General features: G+C 49.9%; 2 protein-coding genes across 5 annotated transcripts, besides 4 other annotated features; both read right to left on the bottom strand.

Moving 5' to 3' along the window:
* Window positions 914–15,440, bottom strand: SV2A (synaptic vesicle glycoprotein 2A). Of its 4 annotated transcripts, none has more exons than NM_001328675.2 (13): window positions 15,335–15,440; window positions 10,815–11,565; window positions 9,396–9,576; window positions 8,422–8,573; window positions 8,166–8,299; window positions 7,397–7,486; window positions 7,057–7,167; window positions 6,788–6,876; window positions 5,638–5,802; window positions 5,296–5,429; window positions 4,246–4,452; window positions 3,476–3,635; window positions 914–2,793 (listed from the first exon to the last, which is right to left on the bottom strand). In NM_001328675.2, exons 2-13 carry the CDS (start codon window positions 11,434–11,436, stop codon window positions 2,610–2,612), a joined length of 2,229 nt encoding a protein of 742 aa, NP_001315604.1. In that variant the 5' UTR covers window positions 11,437–11,565; window positions 15,335–15,440; the 3' UTR covers window positions 914–2,609. The 4 variants fall into 4 exon arrangements, with proteins under 4 accessions (NP_001315604.1, NP_001315603.1, NP_055664.3 ...); NM_001328674.2 differs by having other exon boundaries at window positions 10,815–11,609; NM_014849.5 differs by having other exon boundaries at window positions 10,815–11,783.
* Window positions 7,773–8,274: an enhancer, noted in NCBI's record as "H3K4me1 hESC enhancer chr1:149881729-149882230 (GRCh37/hg19 assembly coordinates)". NCBI's record gives its function as "activates a minimal SCP1, AML or CMV promoter by ChIP-STARR-seq in naive and primed H9 embryonic stem cells {active_cell/tissue: H9 hESC(naive and primed)}" and the evidence as "EXISTENCE:reporter gene assay evidence [ECO:0000049][PMID:30033119]".
* Window positions 8,275–8,774: an enhancer, noted in NCBI's record as "H3K4me1 hESC enhancer chr1:149882231-149882730 (GRCh37/hg19 assembly coordinates)". NCBI's record gives its function as "activates a minimal SCP1, AML or CMV promoter by ChIP-STARR-seq in naive and primed H9 embryonic stem cells {active_cell/tissue: H9 hESC(naive and primed)}" and the evidence as "EXISTENCE:reporter gene assay evidence [ECO:0000049][PMID:30033119]".
* Window positions 15,284–15,353: a silencer, noted in NCBI's record as "silent region_1290". NCBI's record gives its function as "represses an Ori minimal core promoter by ATAC-STARR-seq in GM12878 lymphoblastoid cells {active_cell/tissue: GM12878}" and the evidence as "EXISTENCE:reporter gene assay evidence [ECO:0000049][PMID:35858748]".
* Window positions 20,913–25,399, bottom strand: SF3B4 (splicing factor 3b subunit 4). The gene is made up of 6 exons (NM_005850.5): window positions 25,322–25,399; window positions 24,762–24,890; window positions 23,972–24,514; window positions 23,432–23,638; window positions 21,437–21,610; window positions 20,913–21,325 (listed from the first exon to the last, which is right to left on the bottom strand). The coding sequence occupies exons 1-6, from the start codon at window positions 25,353–25,355 to the stop codon at window positions 21,138–21,140; spliced, it is 1,275 nt and encodes a 424-aa protein (NP_005841.1). The 5' UTR covers window positions 25,356–25,399; the 3' UTR covers window positions 20,913–21,137.
* Window positions 25,196–25,575: an enhancer, noted in NCBI's record as "active region_1665". NCBI's record gives its function as "activates an Ori minimal core promoter by ATAC-STARR-seq in GM12878 lymphoblastoid cells {active_cell/tissue: GM12878}" and the evidence as "EXISTENCE:reporter gene assay evidence [ECO:0000049][PMID:35858748]".

A 25,994-nucleotide genomic window follows, 5' to 3' on the forward strand; every position in this document is an offset into this window, starting at 1 on the left:
AGATGGATCTGGCAGTGATGTGTAAGTGAGTTGGCATGGGAGACTGGAGGAACAGAGATCAATCCAGAGTGAGGGTAGAACCCTGACTTACAAGTCATCTGTGGGAATGGAAAGGAAGGAGTTTATTTGAGAGCTACCATAAAATCAGAAAATGGTTTGATTGGAACAGAAATGGACTAGAGTGAGAGGGGAGTCAATGGTAACCCCAAGGCAGTGGTTTTCAGATTTTCTCAGGTAAGAACTCCCATGAGATTGTTTAAAATGAAGCTTCTGGCTGGGTGTGGTGGCTCACACCTGTAATCCCAGCAGTTTGGGAGGCCGTGGCGGGCGGATCGCCTGAGGTCAGGAGTTCGAGACCAGCTTGGGCAGCATGGTGAAACCCCATCTCTACTAAAAATACAAAAATTAGTTGGGTGTGGTGGCAGGCACCTGTAATCCCAGCCTCTTAGGAAGCTGAGGCAGGAGAATCGCTTGAACCCGGGAGGCGGAGGTTGCAGTGAGCCAAGATCACGCCACTGCACTCCAGCCTGGGCAACAAAGCGAGACTCTGTCTCAAAAAAAAAAAAAAACGTAGATTCAAGGTCCCTATCCTTCCAAACCAAGAAAAAAAAAAAGGGTTCTGATTCAACAAGTCAAGAGTGGAGTCTGGGGTCTATATTTTTAAAAAGCATACCAGAAGATTTAGAGGAAAGTTGGTTCTATTCTTATGAAACATTACTCCCAAAGTTTTCAAATCTGGGAGACTTAGAGGGCCCTCCATCTGTAGGGGAAAGATCAAGGTAGAGAGGCCAATTTAGGAAGTAAATCTGGTACACCATGTTATTCTGACCTTCAGTCCATCTCACCATTTTACCCTCCAAGGCTGTTAGGAGAATTGGATGTAGGTGGAGAGTCACAGAAGCAGGTATAGCCATTTTGTATTTTGAGGATTTGTTTCCGTTTTATTTTTCGTCAATATTTTTCACTGCATTTTTCACATCAACAGAGTTGGGTTTAGGGTTCCCCAGGAGAGCAAGGGAGATGGATGGGTCCCTCCCAGGGGTGCGAGGAAGAGGGCTACGTCCAGCATGTGGGGAGTGAGGGACAAGGGCACAGGGCACACACTCATACACTGGGCACTGGAGAAGGCAGTCTTTTGAGCACAGACACCAAAGAGTTAAACAGTCACCACCTGGTACAGTGTTACAAAATGGGGAGAGTGACCACAGGGTTGGGGCACTGGACGCAGCATGACGAAGGTGAATTTTGATTTTCTTTTTTGTTATTTTCACTTTTTTCCTTTTAACATTTTTTTAAACATTTTACAAACATCTAAAAACTACAACACGTCACAGCTACAGTGGGGTGAGGGGAGGGCACCAAAGAAAGCAGCCACACAGAGTAGGGTGGGATGGGGCAGCCTAACCTACAGAGGCTATTGTGTGGAAGGGTAAAATGGGGAAACTGAGGCTTCTAGTCCCTGCATTAGGGGTCCCTCACTCACTGCCCAACCTCTCCCCACTCAGAGGAGCTGCCAGGAGGGCCCCTGCTTCCTGCCTCTGCCCCAGCTCTTTGTGCTTTTTGATCTGCTGGTTTGACCAGATGCCTGGTTTCTTTCCCTCCCCTGCTCCCCTCCCTGTGAGGGGACAGGTAGGGAGCATGGGAGGGCAGCTGTGCTATTCCCGCCTGTGCTGTAGTGGGTGGAGCCTCTCACTCCAGAGGAGGCCTCTGCTTCTTGAGGAGGGAAGGAGATGGGCCTTGTCGGATGCCCTCAGATCTCCCTAGACTGTGGGACTCTTATCCCAGGCTGGCCTAGGGCTCCTCCATCCCAGGCTCAACACAGAAACCAGATTAGGGGAGGAACTGTGGGAGGCAGGGTTGTGTGTGCATCCGCTGAAATTACCCTTGGCTTATATTTGAGGACAGTATAGTGATACCCCCCGCCCCATGGCACATGCACACACATATGTAAGTATACATACACATTCACACACAGTCCTGCGGAGCTGCCTCAGAACTTAATCTATTAATAAATAAGAATCAGAAAGCTAATTTCATAAAATTCAGGCTTCATATTTGCAGCCCAAATTGAGAGGAAAGTGGAGGCCAGAGGGCTGAGGTTTATTGCTTCTCCCCCAGCATCCAACAGGAGATGTGAGAGGGCACCCGAGGCCCACTCTTCAGACTCTAAGAAGTTCTTTTGGTCCATGGTCTACACCAGAGCCCCAGCCCCTAGCATAATTGCATACCTGTGGTTTCACCAGGGCCTAGGCAGAGGGAATGATGGGGAAGGCAGGAAGCCTATTCTGGAACCCCTGGAACAGGGAAGCAAGGGCCCCTCTCTAACAGGGGGAGAAGGATGGGGCTCAGCCTTCTCTTGTGCAAAGTCAAGGGCAGTGGGAAATGGGGAGTACAGCTTCATCTCAAAACTGGGATGAAGGAGCCTTCCCTGTAGTCCCTGCCCACGGGGTTTACACACATGCACACGCACACGCACACACAGCTAAGACACCAAACACGGGGAGTGGGGAGTGAGGGCTCTGGAGGTCAGGATGGCAGGGCAGGGAGGGGAAGGAAGGAGTTGTTGGTCTCACAGTGTGCCTGCCAATCCCAAAGCCCTAGAGACCCCTTCACTGCAGCACCTGCCCCCGGGTCTCAGGCAGCTTCAGGGCCAGAGAGCTGCCAAGGGCAAGGGCAGCTGAGGCAAAGAGGATGGGTGCAGCCTTGGTGATTCCCACGAAGGATGTGAAGATGCTGATCCCCAGCACAGCTGCCAGCTTACACAGGGCATTCAGGAAGCCAAAAGCTGTGGTCCTGCTCAGGAGTCCCCCAGTGCAGCACGGCGCAAGGTACAGGAGGGAGGCAAAGGAAGAGTGGAGGGCAGGGAAGTGAAGTCCAGGAAGATGCAGGCAGTGTCCAAGAGGGAGAGAGAAGGTTGGAGAGATCAGAGAGGTAAAGGATGTACACCAGGAATGTAAATAAATTGAGAGACAAAGGGAAAGGAGACCAAAAATTGAGGTTAACAGTTAAGACTTTGAGGAGTAGATACAAAAGCTACCAGATTTTTTTTTCCTTTTTTTTTTTTTTTGAGACGGAGTCTTGCTCTGTTGCCCAGGCTGGAGTGCAGTGGTGCGATCTCGGCTCACTGAAAGCTCCACCTCCCGGGTTCAAGCAATTCTCCTGCCTTAGCCTCCTGAGTAGCTGCGATTACAGGCACCCAGCTAACTTTTTGTATTTTTAGTACAGACAGGGTTTCACCATGTTGGCCAGGCTGGTCTCAAACTCCTGACCTCAGGTGATCTGCCTGCCTCGGCCTCCCAAAGCACTGGGATTACAGGCATGAGTCACCGTGCCCGGCCAAAGCTACCAGATTTTAGAGGAGAAAATGGAAATGTATATCCTCTCACCCCTAAGGATGCTCTTCCCATTCAGCCCTCCTTCCTCACCCCACCCCTCCCCTGAATCCACTGCCCTGCCTCCAACACATTCCAACTACCTCTTGTCTGAGGGGTAGAGTTCAACAGTCAACACGTCCAGCGCATTCCAGGATGCAATGCTGACCCCGCCAAAAAGGCAGAGCAGAGCGATCATGGCCGACTCACTGTTCCCAAAAGACAGGAAGAAGCAGGAGACACAGGACATCACGCTGGAGCCAGCTGGAGCCAGGAGAGGAGAGAGCAACATGAGCCTGGCCACAGTGAAACCCACCCACAGCCCACCCTGTCCCATCAGCTGGCTTTCAGATAGCCCAGGATGAGACTTGTTCCGAAGGTATCCAACCAAGGTATCCAAAAGGAAGGCTTTTCACTCCTCCTCAACCTCCCTTATAATTGTTTATTAATAATATCAGTAACCATCATTTATTCAATGCCAGCCATGGGCCAAGGCAATTGATGCTTTACATGCATTGATCTAGCACATCAACCCTATGACACAGGTACTATTATCACCTCCATTTTGCAGAGGAAACAACCAGGCTCATAGAGGTAATTTGCCAGAGGCCAGAGGCAGGTGGTGGAGCTGAGATTCAAAACCCATAACCTCAAAGCCTGTGCCCTAACCACTTGCAATTCTGCTTACCTCCTTTACCCCCAGAGAAGCTTCTGTGCCAGTCCCCACCCCATCCTGCAGCACCCCCTAAACAGAAAACATGAGAGAGGAACTCTCTGACCAATCTCTTCCACAGCCCAAGGTGAGAAGCCTGTTGACTGCCTCCCGCAGCCCCTGGCCCCTACTATCAGATCTGACTCAGCCTCTCCCCCTTACCAAGCATTCTGAGCCTGCCGATCTTGTCCATGAGCAGGGCAGACACGATATTCCCAGGAAGCACTGCCAGTGTCCCCAGGAAGCTCACAAAGTATACCATGTAGGCACCTTCGCCCGTCCCTGTCACGTCTAGCGGGCAGCCCTCCTTGTTGTGCAGGAATGTACTGTTTATCAGACGGCTGTTCACAAACTTGTACTCGAACAGGTCTGTGGGCAAAGGCCAAGATAAGCAGGCAGTCATAGCAGATGGGAGAGGGAGGCTGTTACGGCTTATGGCTCAGGGCTCTGCATGTATGAAAGTTAGTAGGAGGGGCTCTCAAAATTATTCACAGTGCTAATCACAAAACATCAAATAACATCACCATGGGAACTAGGGATCTTTAGAGCAGAAAATGACCATCATCTGTCCAACAGTGTGACTTTGTCCAAGTTCTCCCATTAATAGTCTTAGCTGCTTATTCATTCTTTCTGTCCGTGCTAGCTGACTATAAGCAGTAGCGATGCCGTGGACTTAGGAAATTTTTCTGAGAAAAACATTTAAAATAATAAAAAGTCCTATCCATTGTTGTTTTCCTGCAACATGGAAAAAGCTCGCCCAGTATGAGGTGGGAAATTTCAGTCTAGCTCACAAAACCAGCATTTCGTGTGCATATACTGAAGTTTGAGAATCACTATTAAAAAGGAGTGGATTCATGCAATGATCCGCACCAAATACCCCTTTTATTGATTGTTTTTCTTTTTCCCAAGAATGCTATTTTGGATGATTTTTACCTTCTTCAAAAGTGCATTAATTTTACCTCACTGAGTTATAATTTCAGCCAAAGGCAAATAAACTTGATGTTTTTGTCAGATATTCTATTACAGGAAAATGTCCAACATCCATTAGATTTTCAGAATTATTGGTGGTAGCTATCAGGCCCCTCTGCCACCTTCCCACAGGGGTCCAGGGATCTCAGCTTGAGAACCCTAAGATAGTGAATGAAAAAGGTTCCTTCTCATCAAGGTCCACCCAACCCTTTGGTCTGACACCCACCAGCCACCCCGCCTTACCAGTGTTATAGAACACAGTGTTGATGAATGTGCAGTTGCGGAAAAACGTGTTGCTGGATGTGACATCCTCAAAATAACACTCTTCAAACAGGGAATCCTCAAAGGACACTGACTTGAGCCGCAGCCCAATGAACCTGTAAGGCCAGGATGGTGAAAGACACTCCCCCGTCATCCTCATGCCCCCTCCAAGACTCACTCTTTAGCGAAGTAATGGGAAGCTGGGCATTGAGAAGAAACCACAAGTGTTTGCCCCCCAAATGTCTTGTCTTGAACCCCTAGACTCATAAAAGAGACGAGGTAGAAGGAACAGGGAAGAAGTGAAGTTTAAAAGTCCCCACATACTTGTCATTGAAGTACTGCCCGCCTCGGTGGATCTGATTCTCCAACGTGAAGTTAAAAGTTACATGCTCTACGCGCTCCCCGGGGAACACTTTGGTGCGGGATGCGTAGTCCACTGCCTGGAGATGGCGGATCATGTCAGGAAACCAGACGGTCAGGCCATAGTAGCTGAAGAGTCAAGGACAATGGAAACAGACAACAGGGCTTCAGACAAGGCTCAGAGATTAGAATCAGGCAGAGGAGAAAACGGAAATGTGTATCATCTCAGAACAAGGGAGAAATGGAGTCAACCTCTGTTAGGACCTTGCTCCTCTCCAGCCTCACCAGCTTCTCCCTGCTCCTCCCTTCAACAGTTGCTGCGCTCCTGGGGGACTTCAGGGTCTCGCACAGCAGCCACTATACTTTTTCTTACCTCCCAAGCATTTGCTTTTCCCTCTGCCAAAAACACTCTTCTCCACCCCAGCCACCCCCACTCCACCTGTCTGACTCCCATTCACCTTTGAGGACTTAGGTCCCCACCCCAGCCCAAGCCCCAAGTGCTCCCACTGCCCTTCCCCCACCCTTCTCTCATCACCCTGCTTCATAGCAAGTTTCGTCTCACTTCTTTTTTTTCTTTTGAGACGGAGTCTCGCTCTGTCACCCAGGCTGGAGTGCAGTGGCGCGATCTCGACTCACTGCAACCTCTGCCTCCCGGATTCACACCATTCTCCTGCCTCAGCCTCCAGAGTAGCTGGGACTACAGGCGCCCACCACCATGCCCGGCTAATTTTTTGTATGTTAGTAGAGACGGGGTTTCACCGTAGCCAGGATGGTCTCGATCTCCTAACCTCATGATCCGCCCGCCTCGTCCTCCCAAAGTGCTGGGATTACGAGCCTCATCGTCCTGCTTCTTAACCAAAACATAAACTCCAGGAGGACCTTGGACCACATCTGTTTCATCCCAGCACAGAATAGAAACTGAATCCTGGTCAGCCTACAGTACAAGTTTGTTGAGTGAACTAGCGAAGTAGAGGAGCTGGCTGCAGGATCAGAGGGGGTCTGCATGGCACCTTCCCTCATCGCTTGTCCCCTGCATCTCCATTCTCCCCACCTCTCTCCCAGCCCACACACCACCACAACCACCACACATCACCCAGCCCACCCATCTCCTCACCTGAATGACATGGTGAACCACACACCCATCATCATCAGAGTGATGCGCCGATATTCGGGACCAAAACAGGAGAGAAAATTCCCCCAAACCTACAGGGGACCAGACAAAGTCAGACCTTGACTATACTAAGTTCTAGCACCCATAGATCCCCACTTTTCTGCCCTCCCACCTCCCTTCAGCTCACCCATCACCCACACACATAGACTTCAGTCCTGCCTTCTTCTCCACTTCCCCCACTCCCTTCTATCTACCACCCCGTCCACCATTACCTGCCCCCCTAGGCTCAAGGCCCGGACCCCCCAGCGCTGGTACCAGGTCCCTGTGTCCGACTGGATCTCAATCAATTCATCCTCCTGATGAATCGTCTTAATGTGGGTTACCTGGGGTCAAGAGAAGGGGTGGGCAGTCACACACTCTGTGTTTCCCAACATCGGCCAGGCGCCTCAGTTTCCCCTGCATTAGCAAAATGGGAGGCAGGAGGTGGATATGATACCCTGAAAATCTCCTTACGGTAGAGTGTGGTCTGAGGTGGGGGGTACTCAGAGAGGGGCCAGGTAGGGGCTGGGGCTGCAGGGCGTGGAGGTCTGAGTCGGGAGGGCTGTGGCTTACTGAGAACACTCGCTCAGGATGTCCTTTGGCTCGCATGTTGGTATCATGGACCTGCTTCAGCACCATCCAGGCCTCATCATGCTTTCCATTCTAGAGCCAAAGACACAATCCCCACATCCAAGTCAGCCCCTACCTGACCCAGAGTTATAGACCCCCTCCCTCCCACCTGGCTTCTGTAGTCACAGGACACTAAATGGTTCCCAGCCCTCAACCCCACCACCAAGCCCTGACCTATGGGCATGCACTCACCACTCTGAAAGAGCCCCAAGCTGAGGTATAGCAAGACAATCAGACTTGGGCAAGAGCTGCGGGTTGGGGGTGGGGAGTGTTGTCCAGGGGAAAAAGGCAAGCACAGGTCTTGGGAATTCCATAGTACAGAGGAATGTAAAAACCAAAGGTAAGGGAAATGATGGGCAAGCATGTAGTCAAAGACCTAATCCTGCTGGGGTTAGGAGGGGAAGGTATAGGGGGTGGGAATGTCTCTTGAGCTGTAAATGCAGGACAGGGCCAAGGCCCTTCCCTGCAAAATCTTAAGTCATCCATGGGTAAAGAGGTCCCCTGGTTTCTCCACCCAAGAACCCCTCAGGGACACATTCCAAGGCAAAGAATGCAAGATAAAGTCCCCTGGAGAGTGGACTCTGTGAGGAAGGCAGGCAGTCAAACAGGATCAAATCAAACTCCAGTTGGTGTTTGAACACAGAAGCCCCTGCTGCCGTCCACACTCCACAGCCCGCACCCCACCCCACCCCATGCAGCTCAGCCCCATCACCTCTAGGAAGAAACGGGGGCTCTCAGGCTGCGTGGTCAGAGCCCCAATGGCAAACACAGAAGGAAAGGCGCAGACGAGGACGAAGACCCTCCAGCTGTGGAACTGGTAGGCAGAACCCATCTGAAAACTCCACCCTGGTAGGGAGAAAGTGACAGCATCAGCAGAGAGGCCAGAGGCTGGGGGAACCCACCACAGGGAGCACAGAAGAAGAGGGAGGAGGGAGATAACCTGGGGTGGATTTCCGGGGGCTGCTCACCATAGTGGGGGATGATGGCCCAGGCCATAGCAGCTGCGTACACGCCACCAATCATCCAAAACATGCAGAGCCAGCTCAAATGCTCCCCTCGTTTCTCCTGGGCCAGAAACTCGGAGAAATAGGAGAAGACAATGGGGATGGACCCTCCAATCCTGAAGTGCATTTCAAGAATTCAGCATTAGCAAATGGCCATAGTCCTGATCCCCTGCCCCACTGCTCTGGACCCCGAGCCCCTTTTGTCTTCCAGGCTTTTGAAGAGACTCCATCTCACACATAAAGCCTTACAAGCTCCCATGTGGGCCAGCCATCAAGCACCCATCCTTGGGACCATGGGAAACAGGCAAGCGAGTCTCAGGGAAAGGGAAAGAGCAAATCTTAAATCTTGAAAATGAATTACAGAGTTGGAAGGGCGGGAAAGTAATTGCAGAAAAGAGAATAAATCTCCAGAGAAAAAAGACAAGCCAAAAGCCTCCAAGGGCAGATGTTGTGGGAATGGCCAGAAAGGAGCTTGGAGTTGAAGCAGAGTAAGCGGGCCTGCCATGCTTGCAAAAGTGAAGGGGCAGTGCGGACAAGGCGTCAGGGTTCTGGCAGGTGTGGGTGTTAGCAAGGTTTGTTGTGTAATGCAGGAAATGTGTAGACTCTGGTAGGGGGTAACTCTGGGTCCACAGGAGCCCAGGGGTGGGGCTGAGGCCCACTAGGCCTCTTTGTGGAGGCAGGCTCAAAAATGGAACTAGAGGTGGGGTGGAGGACTCAGGAGTGGGCCAAGGAACAGCATTCTGGACAGCAGCAGACAGGTCCTGGGCAGGGAGGAGCTGGCCTGAAGATGGCTGGGGGAGAAAGGAACTCATTCATCCGTTCAACTCACACAGATTTAAGGTGCATTTGGTGTGCCTGGCACTGTGCTGGGCCCTAAAGATACAACAGTGACCAAGGCACAGTCCTGCCCTCAAGGGACTTAGGAAGTGTACACTCACCCAACCCCAGAAAGTAGGCGGCAGAAGAGGAAAGTGCCGTAACCCTGGACAAAAGATGAGAAGAAGGCGAAGACGCTGTTGACTGAGAGCGAGATGAGCAGACACTGCCTCCGACCCAGCCGGTCAGCCAGACCTCCCCAGAGGAAGGCTCCCACCATCATGCCCAGGTAGACGATGAGGCCTGGAAGGAGGAGGAAAACAGGCAGAGGGGGTGTGAGCAGACACACCTTAATTCTCCCAGGAGATGAGCACTGAGGGAGCTGAAGGATCTGAAAAACTTCTAGAAGGTAAGTCTACCCAGAGATTAGAGCAAGTGAGAGAAAATGAATGGTGTAAGCAAAGATAGAAGATCATCTCTGCAGGCCAGGGGTTCAAAGGCAGGAATGAAGATATGGGAGAACCTGCAAACTCTCCACTCTCTTCGGTCTGTCTCATTTCTCACTCTGACACACACACAGTGACACCTTTACCCCTGGCTCACTTTGAAGGAGGAATGGGTGTGCCTAGGATCACAGACCACCCCAGGGTCCTCTCTATTCTCCCTGCTTTGATCCCTCAAAGCAGCAGGAGAGCTCTCATTTGTTCCTGGGGAAAGGGGCTCCAATTCATTTCATCTTCCCAGGAAATCTCCCACACAAAATCCATCCTTTACTCCTTCCAGTCTCAATATTTCTGGTCCAAAAACTCTCCTGTTTTTCACTGCCTTCATAAAACCAAAGCTGGAATTAATCTTTAAAATCATCTACTCCAAACTTTGCATTTTCCCATGCCCAAACCAAGCCCCAGGAAGAAGAGACCTGTCCAAGACCCCATGGCAATTTGGTGGCAGAGTAAGGCCTCGATTCTTTCTCTGTGAGTCTACGGGGTTCCTCCTCAGAGTCCCTGTCAGGAAAGGCCATCAAAGACTACATCCTGTCCCCTGGAAACTCCCATCTGAGTGAGAGAAAGTCTAACCAGCTTCTCTGGCAGAAGATCCAGGACCCTCCCCCCCTCCCCCAACCACCCCAAACTGACTCTCCCCATTTATACCAAGGAGTTTGGATACTGGCTTCTTGTTCCCCAATCAGTGAAAGGGAACAGGATAACCAGAGGGAAAGCTATGAAGAAACATTAAATGGTAGGGACCATCCTACCACAGCCACCTCCTGCAGAATGAAGCAGACCACCACCCAACCACTGGCCCAAGCCCCAGTCCAGCTGCCCTCCCGCAAGCCCCTCTGTCACATTCAACTTCACCCTGACCCAAGGCCAAGAAGAGGGAGTGTGTGAGGGAAGAGTGTGCAGAGGAACCCTGAGCCCTCTGGGAACATCTTGGGTGCAGGGTCCTAGGGAACCCAGTGGTAAGGACAAGAGCAATTTCCAGGAGCAAGGAGGTTTCCAGAGTTTGAGGGGATAAGGCTGGAGCCCCCCATGTCTTACCTAGCATGCCTTTGTTGGAGTCGGACAGGCACATGTCTTTCTCAGCGCTGGGCAGCACGAAGCCCACCACAAAGACCTCCACACCGTCAGCCATCAGCGCCAGACCAAGCACAAAATACAGTGTCCACTGGAAGCGGCCGTGGCCACACTCCCGTAGGATGGCTTCATACTGTTGGGCCAGTTCTTCTCGTTCTTTCCGTCGTTGTGCCTCCCCCCGGCCCCCAGGGGGACCCTCCCCATCACTCAAGCCCCCCCTTACTCCAGCCAGGGGCGCCCCATCTGCCATCCGCTCGCCTTTGCCCCCAGACTCTGCCCGGGGAATGCCCTGATATTCCCCTTCATAGATCTCATCATCCTCGTCATGGCCCTCAGTAGCATCACTGGATGCACCACCTTCCTCCTCATCCTGGGTCCCTTCTCCTCGGTAATAACCATCACTGGGAGCAGGGAAGTCATCATCATCATCCTCCTCCTCAAAGCGGGAGTACGATCTTCGGGAATATTCGTCCTGGACTCTGTCCAGGCCCTTCACCACCTTCTTGGCCGCATGCTTTTTGACTTCCTTAGCAATGTCTTTGGCCCCACGGATGAAAGCTGCCCGGTCTCGGAAGCCCTCTTCCATGATGGGGCTTGGGGCACTTCACTGGGTCTTCTCCACCTCCTGCTTCTTTTTCAGCTTTTTGCTCAAGGACTTGTAGAGTCAAAAAGACCCCTCCCCACAGTTACTTAGATGAAGCGTGTTCCAGTATCTCTGGGCACAAAAAAAAGAGCAAACAGGTCCTAGCCAATGAGTGCCTAGGAAGGAAAAGGAAGGAGAGGAGCTTTGACCTATACCCAGTTCAGTTGGGTGGATGGGGAAGGGACAGGGGGAGCAGGGGAATGGGAAGGGGAAGGGGAGCCAGATTGGGAGGCTAAGCCAGGATAACTCAGGAAGGGTCGCCTGCTTCTCTTCCACAAGCCTCTGGAGACCTAGAAAAAATAACAGACAGCAAAAGGAAGTTGTGAGTCCTAAGGTGGTGAAGAAGGCCAGTATAAAGCCTCTCAACCCAGAGCCCCATCTGGACCATGTGGTGCAGAGATGGTCTTCTCGCTTTAGGCTCCCATCCACACACTAAAAAGGGATGGCTATCTGGGCTAACCGGGTCACTCACATAGAAGTCCCCTTACTTTGACCTTGGAGGCCTGGCCTGTGGAATTTGCTCCAAAGTCGCAGTCACCTACCCCCAAACCCACCCCAGCCCTTGCTTTATCACCAATCTGCAAAGAACTAAACAGGAAATATGAGAAACCAGAATTCCCTTCTTTAGTCTTGCCTGGGTTTCTTACTAGGGGTGGAGTTGAGGAGGATGTGTAAGAGGACAAGCCCTCCAACCTGTGGCCTTCCCTCCTCTGATGGCATCTGAAGGCAGGGGCTTCCACTGTCCTTCCCTCAGGTCCCATGTTTACAGGCTTCAACAAGGAGGGATTTTCTCTCAACATAGTCTAATGGGTAAATGCTCAGCTTCCAGAGTCACAAAGACATGGGGTTGACTTCCTGTTTTGGCAAATACTAGCTAAGGGACCAAGCCTCAGTTTCTTCTTGTTTAAAAAGGGGAAAGTAAGGGTCGAATGATATAATGTATCTATGCTCCTTACCATAAGTCACCTGGCACATAAAAATGATGAATAAATATTAATTATTAATTTTGTGGTGACAGTAATATAGTGAAATGCCCTATACTACCTCATAAGGTCCCCAGATGAAAGCTATCTTGGATGCTCTTTAGGGTGAGCAGCAGGAAGGGACACTGGCAAGGAGAATCCTGGTTCAGGGCAAAGCACATGACTGTTAGGGGTGACCTAAGTTGAAATCCCAACTCTGCCACTTACTAACTGATCTCAGTCAGGGTAGTTAACCTCCCTAAGCCTCAGTGTCCATCTATTTTAACTGGGGATAATTAAATTGGGAGACTGTTTCTTGGAGTTGATGTGAGAATGTAATCTCACAGTAGATACTCTATGTTAGTTTTCTTCCTTCCTATGATGTTGAAAGTGGGAAAGAAACAGGAAGCAGCAAGGGACAACAGGGGGGTCATACTTAGATGCTGTTGCCCAGCATCCTTGCAAACAGAGTCCCAAGACACCCCTATCTATGTTTCAACTAATTCCAGTAGCTGGGCCCACATTAACTACCTCCAGAAGAACAAGGGAAGATCCAGAAAAGGGGGACCTGGAACCCAAGTAAAGTGGAGGAAAGATGGAAAGCTAAGAAAGAGGTGATGACTGTCCACTGCCACCTTGCTTCAGAATGTCATAGATAGGCCCCCTTTCCACAGATGGGGGTGAGAATGGAAATGACTGTCAAATGCATACATTTCCAACATGAGGTTCTAAGGCCTACAGTTGCATCCCATCCCTCCAGGGCCTCCCTTCCTAATCCCCCTTAATCCTTTCTGCTCCTCCTCCAGGAGTCAAGGAAGAAGGAGTCCACAAACACCGCATTGCGTAGGAGGCGGATGTAGAATAAAGGGGGTTTGGGTGTCCCCCCAAAAAAGACATTCTCCAGAGGAAGGCATGGGATAGCCCCCTTCCTTCATAGGAGCAGAGGAAGCAGGCCTAGATTCTGATCAGAAATCATCCCCCTAAAAATATCCTGCCTCCGGTGCTCCCACCCATCCAGGGCCTTCATTAAAACACACACACACACACACACACGCACACACACACACACGCCCTGGTAGAAGACGGTAAGCAATGCTATGTGGTTCAGAGAGAAGCACTGGCAAGCAGCGCCTTATCCCCTCAGGACAGATGTAAGCAGTGGACCACGGTGACCAGAAGCAGTGACCCCTATGTCACCTTTTCTTCATGGTTCAGGGCCCAACCATCCCCCATGAAAGAGCTGGAACTGCGGAATCCCCTCAGCGCATGGCAATTTGCTAGCTTTCCTCTCTTTCCTAACCAGGATCTCCCCTCCAGCCCTGAAGGAGGCAGGACCCACCAGGAGCCATACTCTATGTTTGTTGACCCTATTTCCCCCTGAGAGGGGCACGTAGGGCAGGGAAGCCTTCCACAACCACAGCAGGATATGAGGTCTCAACAGCCAGCTTCCTCAGGGCCAGCAAGCCCAGGAGGTCAGGAGAGAAAGAAAGAAGACAAATTCTTTGAGCTGGTGAGGAAGTGGTGCTATTTTTAGCCCCCAAAACAGCACAGGGTGGCTAAGCCTGGGGGAGTGAGACAAGACTTGGAGAGGTGGAGGTTAAAGGAGACAAGGTTCAGGGTTACAAGGTCCTAGGCTGGCTGACTTCACCTGACAGGAAAAAATGTGCCCAGGAGATTTTCTGCAGAGGGTGGAGACAGGCAGGGGACTCCAGAGCAAATGCTTTCTTTCAGAACAGCTCATCCAGCCCTGGGTCCAGAACCCCCCACCCTCCCAGTCAAAGCCCCTGACTTTGGGGTCCACCCAGATCCCCAGGCCTTCCTAGCTCAGGTGACAAGGTCATTAAAAAGCAATCACTTATCAAAACGTCCGCGGGGGCGGGGGTAGAATGTGGGAGGTGCGGGAGCACCCCTTCCCCATGACAGCCCGGTCATCGAACTTCAGCCCCCACCCAGGACCATCAAGACTGCGCCTCCCCTCCCCACATCCTACCAAGGTTAGGAAGATAGGAGCACCCACAGTTCTGAGGGATAAAAATGAGGGTGTCAGCTGAGAATGCACACTGAGGAATACGGAGAGGCAGAGAGGGGGACGCAGGGAGAGACCTCCGCATGCACAGACATAGAGACCGCCCCTATCAGCATTTGCAGCGACCCCCCCACACCCCATCTTGCCTCAGCTCCGGAATAAGGGAAAAGCCCCCAGAACTGACTAAATCCCTGCTCTGAGCACCTCCTCCACCCTTGGTCCTGCTGCTAGACAAGTGTCCACCTTCACTCAACATCCCTTCCCCCCACCCCGGAGCAACTGCCGCCAGCCCCCGCCATCCATGCCCCCAACACCTGGCGGCTCTACATCTCTGTCTCCCCAGTATTTCCATTCTTCACTCCCCTTCCCTCCATCCTTCACCTGCCCTTCTTCCCCTGCCCCCCACCCACCCAAGTCCAGGCGTGCACACTGAGGCAGCATCCATTCTCCAGCCCCAGCCAAGGTCATTTATCATTCATCCTGGGGGTGGGGGGACGTCAAGGTGAGGAGGGGATAGGAGTTTGAGGGAACCTCATCCCACCTCACAACCCCACCACCACGTTAATCTCCGAAGGGGATAGTGGGGACTTGGTTAAGGTAGAGAAAAACACCCCTCCTCCCCATTCACCAATATTATACATATGCGTGTGTGTGTGTGTGTCCTGAAGAGCACAACTGAAATAAATGTCCATCCCCAAACCACCACCAACCCACCAACCCCCCTCACCCCTAGAGAGGGGATCGTCACCCTCCCCATAAGCAAAGCATCGGAGGATAAAATGGCTGCAAGGCAAGGCAAAGATGCTTCTGCCAGGGGCGGGGAGGAGGTGAGCGACTGAGAAAGGGGTCTCACCTGGTCTAGGTTCCCCGGGTAAGGAGTCCCGGGCGAGGACGGGGGTCCCGGCCGCGGGCGGAGGCGGCAGCGGCGACTGCTCCCGGCACCAGGGAAGCGGCAATGCAGACCTGCCACCCCCCTTCCACCACTCCAGCCCCGCCTCCGCCCCCCCCTACCCCGCGCCACTGAGCATCGGGAGAGACCATTGGTGGGGAGAGGAGAAAAGAGGATGGGGAGGGAGTCAGGGCACGGGGAGAAATGATGAAAGGGCCGGAGGTTGTCACAAGAACAGCTGGAAATGGCACCCAGCCCTTCCCAGGCCCTTCCTAGTAAAAGATAGAAGGAACTAAAGAAAAAAACAGTGATGTTAGGAAGACAAGTGGGAAGACAGGGAGATGGGGAATGTGGCAGCCCCTTCCTTAGCACCCCAGTCTCAGTATGGCAGGACCCAATAATTTCAGGGGCTTTTGCTGCCTTCAAAACACCTCCCTTGCCTTCTCCACTGCTCTCAAACTCCTTTTTCACAACAGTCTCCCAAATCCAGAGTGCTCCTATTCCAAGTTTACCTGGACATTTTAGAGAAAGCAGAGATAACAAGGTGTGGTTTCTATCCTGAACTGCCAGAGTCAGAGACCCCTGGATTCCTTCCATCTCTTTCCTCACAAAACAGTCCAGGTTACTTATTTACAGTGGACACCTCCTCATCCTGTCCATTCAGTTGGTGGTAGCAGAAGTACTGGGGAAGTTGAGGGATTTTTACAGACCTGACCAACCGGACAGTTCCCCTTCCATTAATTTGCTCCAATGACTCAAAAAGGATCCTCTCAATACCCTTCTCCATTTTCTCTTACTCTCCTCTACCTCCCTCCCCTCCCCTCCACACACTTGTACTTCCCGGGCAGGAAGAAGTAAATTGTTTCAGCTTTTCCCTTCATCTTTCCTTTGCTCTTGCATCAATAACCTGGACTCAGAGATCCAAGACATGCCACTTGGTGACACTTGATGACCATCCCTGCCGAAGGAGTGAGAGGGAATATGGTGATTTGGGGAAATACATCCTGAATGTGTCTATGCCAGATAAGGTCAGGACCTTCCAGACAGCACTGACCTGGGCTTGGACCTGGGTTCTCACTGCTAACAAGCTGTCAACTCTTGGTCAAGTTCTCCACATCTGTGAACTTCAGGTTTCTCATCTGGAAAAGGGGGGCTTGGACTAGATACTGCATCAGGTCCCTCTCAGATCTAATAGCGTGTGATTCTGCCTTACTAAATGTGGAGGCTTCAGAATGCTGATATATATACATGGAGAAGGCTGACAGGCTATGTCCGAAGAGACCACACAGGTAACATTTGCCAGGTTGAATTTACCTCTGACAGGGACACGGGCCTGGGCTTTGCAGACTCCAAAGCTGGATCTTGGAAATAATCATTCATGCCAACAAAGTTCACAATCTTCTGAAATATAAAGCCATAATACATAAATATTAATTTATCATAAATATTTAACTGTCACTCAGACTGAAAACTCATATCTACATGTCTAGTACATTCTCTCCCTGAAGCCAAATCAGAATCATAATGTCAATGTATAAATGCACAATGACATTACTGGAGGATTTGTATCTTTAATGGCATCTGGCCATCTGCAATAAGCAGCCATGCCAATGGGTCCAGAAAACTCTTCTTGGCAACAATCTTCTACCCCCACCTCTTTGCTATTGGCAGCCTTGCCAGCACTCCTGGACTACTCTGAATGTGACGGCTTTCCAGGATGGTGCTTGGACTGGCCTCAGGGACTCTCCCTTTACTAGACTTTCATTGCTGACCCGTCTTCAGGTTAACACACATTCTTTTTCTTTTTTTTTTTTTTTTTGAGACAGAGTCTCACTCTGTCGCCCAGGCTGGAGTGCAGTGGCGCAATCTCAGCTCACTGTAACCTCCACCTCCGGTGTTCAAGTGATTCTCCTGCCTCAGCCTTCCCAGTAGCTGGGACTACAGGCACGAGCCACCACACCCAGTTAACTTTTTTTTTTTTTTTTGAGACAGAGTCTTGCTCCGTCGCCCAGGCTGGAGTGCAGTGGCACAATCTCGGCTCACTGCAAGCTCCGCCTCCCGGGTTCATGCCATTCTCCTGCCTCAGCCTCCCGAGTAGCTGGGACTACAGGTGCCCGCCACCACACCCGGCTAATTTTTTGTATTTTTAGGAGAGACGGGGTTTCACTGTGTTAGCCAGGATGGTCTCGATCTCCTGACCTTGTGATCCGCCCGCCTCAGCCTCCCAAAGTGCTGGGATTACAGGCGTGAGCCACTGCGCCTGGCTAACTTTTGTATTGTTAATGGAGACAGGGTTTCACCGTGTTGGCCAGGCTGCTCTCGAACTCCGGACCTCAAGTGATCCACTCACCTCTGCCTCCCAAAGTGCTGGGATTACAGGCGTGAGCCACCGCACCCAGCCAAATATGTTAACATTTTCAATTAGGTTATAGCCAAGTCCAGCAGGAGAGCATTTGGCCAGCAGGGAGCCATTTCTTCCCTTTAAGGTGACTTTGCCTACTCTCCACTGATACCTTATTTGCTAAAATAGAAATCTTGCATACTTTTAGAGTGAAAACTTATACCATCAGTCCTCCATATCCATGGGTTTGGCATCCATGGATTCAACCAACTGTGGATGGAAAATGTAGTTAGGCCTATGATGGTTGCATTTGTACTGAACATGTATAGACATTCTCCTCTTGACATTTATTTCCTAAACAATACAGTATAACAACTACTTGCATAGTATTTACACTGCATTAGGTGTCACAAGTAATCTAGAGATGATTTAAAACACACTGGAGGATGTGCCTAGGTTATATGCAAATGTGCCATTTTATATAAGAGATTTGAGCATTTGTGAATTTTGATTATCTGTGGAGGGTCCTGGAACCAATCCCTTGAGAATACACAAATGACTGTATATATTTTCAAGTTCTGAGGGAAGACCTCATCATTTTCCCCCAGGTGCCAGTGCCCTGTCCCACCAACCACTCCTTTGTAGTCCCCTTTGCTGGGGCCATTTAATTTTAGAGTTCCTATGGGCTCAGTCCCAGGGGCGGGAAGCCTTCTACTCTCTTCTTGCTCACCACAGGCAGTCCCGACTTTAATACTGCCTATATGCTGATGATTCCCATTTATATCTGCAGTCCAGACCTTCCCATCAAGCCCAGACTCAAAATCTCTGTCTATTCAATATCACCACACGAACATCTAATAAGCATATCAAACTGGGGCAGCTAGAATTTCCGAGCCAACAGCCTCCAGGCTGAAGCAGCTGCCTCCCCTTACCTCAATTTTGTTTCAAATGGTTCCCTGCCATGATGTGAAAAAGGGCTGAAAAATGGTTTTTGGGAGCTCCCTAACTGGCTCTGACCTCAGCCTGCCTCCAATCCCAAACAGCTCTAGTGCATTATACACCATGCTATTTATCAATCTGTTTCTCCTCAGAAACATCCCATCCACCTGGATTGAATTTCTCCTTGCCTGGGAAAGGTCTATCCTTCCTTGAAGATTAAATGCAGGTATCACCTTTTTCCCAGGAAGTTTTCCTGGACTTTTCTTTTTTTAAGGTGGGAGGTGGGGGACAGTTTCGCTCTTGTTGCCCAGGCTGGAGTGCAATGGCTTGATCTCGGCTCACTGCAACCTCCACCTACCAGATTTAAGCGATTCTCCTGTCTCAGCCTCCTGAGTAGCTGGGATTACAGGCGCCCACCACTGCACCTGGCTAATTTTTGGTATTTCTAGTAGAGACGGAGTTTCACCATGTTGCCCAGGCTGGTCTCGAACTCCTGACCTCAGGTGGTCTGCCCGCCTCAGCCTCCCAAAGTGCTGGGCTTACAGGCGTGAGCCACTGTGCCTGGCCGTTTTCCTGGACTTTCATGCCAGAATAGGTAACTTTCTTCCTGCTCTCAAAATATTTTGTTTCATTAACAATCTCTTATGTGTCAGTTTTGACAGCAGAACTGCCTTGCTTATCTTTGAATCCTCAGCTGCCACCAACAGACATCCTTTGCAGGTACCATAAAAATGTTAATGAGAATGATGGACGAGAACAAGGGGGCCATGCTCACTTCTTGCCTAGAATTTAGTAAAGTTCACAGTTACATAAGCCAGAGGGCACTTCAAGGAAGGGGTGACTTAACAGGATTAATGTGGCAAAGAACATGGGGGAGAAAAAGGCCATTGGATTTGGTCTACTGAAAAGTCTTTAAACTGAGATTTACACGTGATGAAAATCAAGTTTGGAAGGACTGAGAAATGAGAAAAAAAATTGAAATACAAACTCCTTATCTGAGATGACTGTTTACAGACATCTGTAGGAACAGAACAAAATGGAACACGTATGGAACATTTACTGTCTCCATTTACTCATTTTGTTTTGTAATTATGTAAGACATCTATATTGTTCCAAATGAAAAACACATTAACACAGTATACTCAGAGAATCCAGCTTCCCTCAATATCCACTCCCTCCCCAGTGTTATCAATTTCCATTAGTATTTGGTTTATCCTTTTTTTTTTTTTTTTTTTTTTGAGACAGAGTCTCGCTCTGTCGCCCAGGCTGGAGTGCAATGGCGTGATCTCGGCTCACTGCAGCCTCCGCCTCCCAGGTTCAAGTGATTCTCCTGCCTCAGCCTCCTGAGTAGCTGGTTTACCCATTTTTAAAAACGTTAATACATATATATATATATATGCTACCCTTAGAGAAGGTAGCACACTACACACATTATTTTCTTCACTTGGAGATCTCTCCACAGCAGTACGTAGAGATCTTCACTTGGAGATCCTTTTTAAAGCTTTTTTTACATTCCTTTTTACAGCTGCACAGTACTCTGCTGCATGAATTTATCAGTTTATTCAACCGTCCCTTTACTGATGGAGATGTGAGTTTCCAATCTACTGCCATTATAACAGTGCTGCAATGAATTGCATAGTGCATGTTACTTCATTTTTGCCAGACTATCTCCAGATACATCTGTTCACTTTAAAACAATAGTCCGGCTGGGTGAGGTGGCTCACGTCTGTAATCCCAGCACTTTGGGAGGCTGAGGCAGGGGTGATCGCTTGAGCCCAGGAGTTCAAAACCAGTCTGGGCAATATGCCGAAATCTCACCTCTACAAAAAATACAAAAATTAGCTGGGTGTGGTGGCACACACCTGTGGTCCCAGCTACTTGGGAGGCTGTGGTGGGAGAATCACCTGAGCCTGGGAGGTTGGGGCTGCAGTGAGCCATGATCGTGCCACTGCACCCCAGCCTAGGCAACAGAGCAAGACCGTGTCTCCAAATAAAAAAAAGAAACAAAAAAAATGACGATCCTATGCTATATATATTGGGTCCCTATCTTCCAAACTAGAAGATAAGCTCTACGTAAGGAAACAATTACTCTAGTGCACAGCAAAGCTCAGCAACTGCAACAGCACATTACAGAATAAGCCTTTAAAATGTGGAGTAAGCACCCTTGCTCCTACTCCTACCTTACCATTCTTTTCATGATACTGACATCTCTTCTTAAAAGAAAAAGAGAAAAGTTACTGTTGTCAAGGAAAACACCACAAATAAACAAGGAGTTTAGTTTTATTTTCTCTGTGCATTTGCAAAATACTCAGGACCAACATAAAAAAGAAATACCTCCTGTGGAAAAAGTTACATTAAAAAGGGGAATGGAGTGGGGGTGCTGAAAGGGATTAGTACCTTTGCCCCAAGGAGCTACAGCATCTCTGATTGGTCCAAGGAATAGAAAAGATATTGGGAAAATGTAACAGGAGGAAGGAAAATGTGAATTTACTGAGGGAGAGGGCCTCGAAGTGGGCCTCGAGGGGGAACTGGTGGCCGGGGAGTGGGTCTGGGTGGAGGGAGAGGCCCCCGCTGGTAGCCATAGGGTGGGGGTCGTGGAGGGCCAGTGTATCCATGGGGGGGCATCAGTGGAGGAGGTCCACGCATACCATGCGGAGGCATAGGACCTGGGTGACCTGCAAAGAGTAAAAGAAAAGTTAGTAAGGGCACGGGACAAGGGGTGTGCCTACAGGAAGCTGTAAGAACATGATAAGTGCAGATGAGGGAGGTGGCTAGAGCCGACTTACCCATGGGAGATCCGAATGGAGGCCCTCGGGGGGGCATGCCCATTGGAGGAGGTCCAGGATGAGGCATTCCAGGTGGTGGTCGGGGCGGTGGCTGGCCCCCAGAGCCTGGGGGTCCAGCGTGGGGATGTCCTAAGCCATGAGGGCCATGGTGTGCAAGCTGCATCTGAGACATCCCTATGAAAATAAAATAGACACAAGAAGAAAAGAGACAAAGAGAAGGAGGCAAAGAAAATAGAGAAAGGAAGAAAACAAAATTAGAAAGAAAGTGACATCAGAAAGAGAACTATATAGAAAAAAGGGTATAGAAAATAAGGCTGGCTGGGCACAGTGGCTCATGCCAATAATCCCAGCACTTTGGGAGGCCTAGGTGGATCACTTGAGCCCAGGAGTTCAAGAACAGCCTGGGCAACATAGTGAGACCCCAGCTCTATCAAAAAATACTTTTAATTAGCCAGGCATGGTGGTGTGTGCCTCTATTCCCAGCTACTCAGGAGGCTGAGGTGGGAGGATCACTTGGGCCTGGGACGTCAAGGCTACAGTGAGCCAAAACTACGCCACTGCACTCCAGCCTGGATGACAGAGTGAGACCCCATCACCAAAAAATAAAAATAAAAAAAGAAGGGTGGTAAAAAGTGCTCCCTATCCTTGACCCTATTCCAACAGCACAAACCAACCAATCAACCAATTACTCAATCAACTCCTTACCCTATTTGCTTGCTTCTTCCATGATTTAGGTACTGTAATAGTAATGATGAAGTATATAACAAGTGGAGTAATAACTCTGTTGATAGGATTTGAGAAAGTAGCAGAGGACATAACTGTCTAAGCAAAGATCTAATTCTAAAGGATGAATACTTCAGGAGGATAAGATCATGGGAAGAAAGCATCCAAGCAGAAAGATTACCATGTGCAAGTCACAGGTGTGGCAAACAGCACAGTATGTTCCAGGAAATGCCAGTTAACTCAGTAATCAGGAGCAAAATGCAGTTATAGAAATGAGGGGCAGGGGCCAGATCATAAAGAGCTGTGAATGCTATGGTAATGAGTTTGGGTTTTACTCTGTAGGTCAAAGGGAGCAACAGAGGAATTCTGAGCAAGTGTGTGCACATCTGTGTCTTAAAAGACCTACACTGTGAAAGTAGATCAAAGTTAGGGAAAACTGGAGTCAAAGTGGCAAGAGATTACTACAACAAATTAAGTGTAAAATAATGAGGCAATGAGAGACTGAACTAGGGCACTGGCCATGGGGAGAGATGCCACTGATACAAATAAGACTTGGTATTAAGAGTGGGGTGATAGGGAGCAGTCAAACATAGCTCTCAGATTCATGAATTAAGCACCTGAAAAAAAAGAACACTAGAAGAAGAATGGATTTGAAGGAGAGGGATAGAAAAATGACGCTATCTATTAAGCAGCAGCATCAAGGATCTGGAATATCAACAGCTACGGACTAGAGATACAGACCTAGGAGGCATCAGTATATACCCAATTAAAACTATAGATATATGCAGAAAAGAGAAACAAGCACAAAAATCTAGGCACAAGTAGACATGAGTCTATCACGGTAGCTGAGATTAAGAAGTCAGAGAGAGGGGTGGAGGATCTAGAAAAGCAAAAGCAAAAAGAGACAAGAATTTCAAACAGGAGGACACAACTAGTTTCAAGTATATCAGAGGTCAAACTAGATAAGGAGCAGAAGCGTCCCCGAGATTTGGCAATTAGGTCACCACTTTGAGGTGGAGTCAGAGAAGAGAATGGAACTAAAGATTAAAGAAATAAAAACTGGCAAGTAGAGTCTACTTGTCAGAAAAACTTAAGAAATGGATTCAGGGTGGTAGATGTTAGAGAGCATTTTGTATGTTTTTATAATAGAATGTCTGAAGGAAAGGAAAACTCTGAAACTGTTACTGTTGAGGAACAAAGGGCAGCAGGGTGAGTGGTAACAGAGATGCTCTACCAAGCTCTTCCCTCCCTTTCCCAACAAAGCACACCTACCTGGATGGGGCATCCCACCCGGTGGGAATGGGTGAGGATGTGAGTGTCCATGACCAGGATGTCCTGCCCCTGGGGTTCCTGCCGATGGGGGGCCATGTCCTGCAGCCCCAGGAGGCATAGGTGGTGGGGGCATGGCTGGGGGTATCCCAGGTGGGAGGGCTCCAGGAGGTGGCACTGGGGGTGGGAAGGAGCCAGGAGGAGGCATGCCTATAGAGGAAATGGAAAAAGGAAGAGTTAATGGTAGTGAGGAGAAAATGTCTTTAAAGAGCCTGTCCTGATCTGGCCTCTCCAGGCAGGGTGAGCTCTTTCCCCCTCCTCCCAGTGCTCTAAAATCAAAAGCAATGTTAGAAAAGTCAACCAACTTCACCCTCCTAAAGAAACCCAACAACTTTCTTCTTCACCACTACCATCACCCCTCAGTCCTCTTCCCATCAACTCACTGACTCAATGTCCCCTGTCCCCCTTTCAGACTTGTTTTCTTCTTCCTCCTGACCCTCTCCCCCAACCTTAAGACAAACATATTTTAACCAAAAGCTTTACCTGGTGGAGGAAGCCCAGACCCCAATGATGATACCACAGGATTGGGAGCAGAGGGTGGAGGAGGTGCATCTGCAAACAGCTGATGAGGGCGATCAGCCTGGGAGAGCGGGTTCTGAGCTGCCAGAAGTCGTTCGGCTGCTGAGCCATGGCGCTCACCCTTGGAGTCCTTCTTGAAGGCATAAGATACGGTGATAGGACGGTTACAGAGGTACTGCCCATTCATGGCTTCAATTGCTGCATCCGAAGCATCAAATGAAGCAAAATTAATAAAGGCATAACCTTTGGAGTTGCCTGTGTCAGGGTCCCGCATAATTTTGGGGGTTTGTAAGATGACCCCAAAGGCGCTGAAAGTATCATAAAGCAACTTCTCATCAATCTCAGGGTCCAGGTTCCCAATGAAAATGTTGGCCCCTACATCCAGGTTTTTGTTGTGAGCTGATGCTTTGTTCACCCGTATTGGCTTCCCATAGAGTTTGATCATGTTCATGATCTTAATGGCATAGTCAGCATCTTCCTCACTCAAGAATTCCACAAAGCCATAGCCTGGAAAAGTGGAGAAGAGGAGGTTAACAACGTAAGTAAAGAGACTGAAAATGGGGTAAAATTCATCTACCCTCTAATCACAAAGAACAAGAAAGAAACAACATCACTTTACTTAAGAATGGTTCCAGAAATAAACTGAAGAGAGGCTTAAAAGAAAAAAATCTTTAGGTTGCTCATGTTATTCCAAAACAGTTGTGAATACTGCTGGGACCCTCCGGGAGCAATTCGCCCCTTGTCATGTACTCACCTTGGTGCTGGCCAGTGACTCTATCCTTTGGCATGTGGGTGTTGACTACTGGTCCAGCCTGGAGAAACAGTTCCCACAGCAGCGGTTCACTAACCTTCTCATCCAGGCCCCCCACGTACACAGTGGCATCTTGAAGGGAGGGAGCAAAAAGAGCAAGCGTGAGAGTGTAACGGGAAGGAAGGAAGTGATGGAAACATGAAGATGGAACCCAACCAGGGGAACTGGGGACCGCGGTAGGGGACAGGAGCAAAAAAAAAAGTTTAAACCCTTAAACTTCTCTCTTCCCAGGACTTCGGGAATCCTCTGAAGTCTAATTTAGTATTGTGAGTGGGTTTTTTTGATTTTTTGAGTGAGAAGTCAGCAGGGGACCGGACTTAAGTATCACACCCAGAGGCCTCAGCCAGCACCCGGCCACCCCGCCCCCAACAGGCAGAGGGCCGGTCTCGCGCCCTCTGGGGAAGGGAGGAGTCCAGTCTCCCACCCCTGCAGAGACACTGCTGGCTGTAGTCGGGGCCTCCTAGCCACGCTGAGCCCATTCCAGACTTTCCCCCTCCAGTTACCCTGATTCCGCTCGGAGATCGGCCCGGCAGCCATGGCGAAAGAGATCCCGCCGTCTCCCAGCAGCGGTTCCGCCTTCTGACCTCAGCACGACTTCCACTTCCGGGGCGAAGACGGACGTAGCGGTGGGCGGGGCCGCGGAAGAGGAGGTGCCTGGAAGCGGCTGCAGCCATCTTAGGAGCCTCCGAAACTTAACCTGGGTCGGGCGGTAGAGTCCTCGGCTCGCGTCCTGAGGTGCCGCTGCTAGTTGTCTTAGCGAGGAGGGCGGAACGGAAACGCTCAGGCCCTCTTAATGCACTGCTAGACTTGAAAGAATCACACTGCTCTCAAAAGTGTAAATTCGAAAGCTAAAAGAACAAAAATTTCAGTTTTAATATATTTTGTGGACAGTGATTCTTCTTCTGTTGTCCAGAGAAGGATGTGCTGAAGAGTTCCCCCCAACCCGAGGACTTGGGGGCTTTCAGGCGCAGAGGGAGCCTTCCCTCTCGCCTGCAGCCTTCTTGCAGATTTGGCCTCACAACCCTGATTTGGGCTGGAGGTATTTGGTTTTCCCTCAGGGGAGGAGACTGCGAAATGTCTGAGCTTAGAGTGACGTCTGCGCTCACCTCGTCCTAATTGCATGGGGAGGGTGAGGGCTGCTCCGCGTTGGTGTGTGACCACAGCTGAGGGGTGGAT

Source organism: Homo sapiens, chromosome 1 (genome assembly GCF_000001405.40).
Source record: "Homo sapiens chromosome 1, GRCh38.p14 Primary Assembly".
NCBI classification, from domain to species: Eukaryota; Metazoa; Chordata; class Mammalia; order Primates; family Hominidae; genus Homo; species Homo sapiens.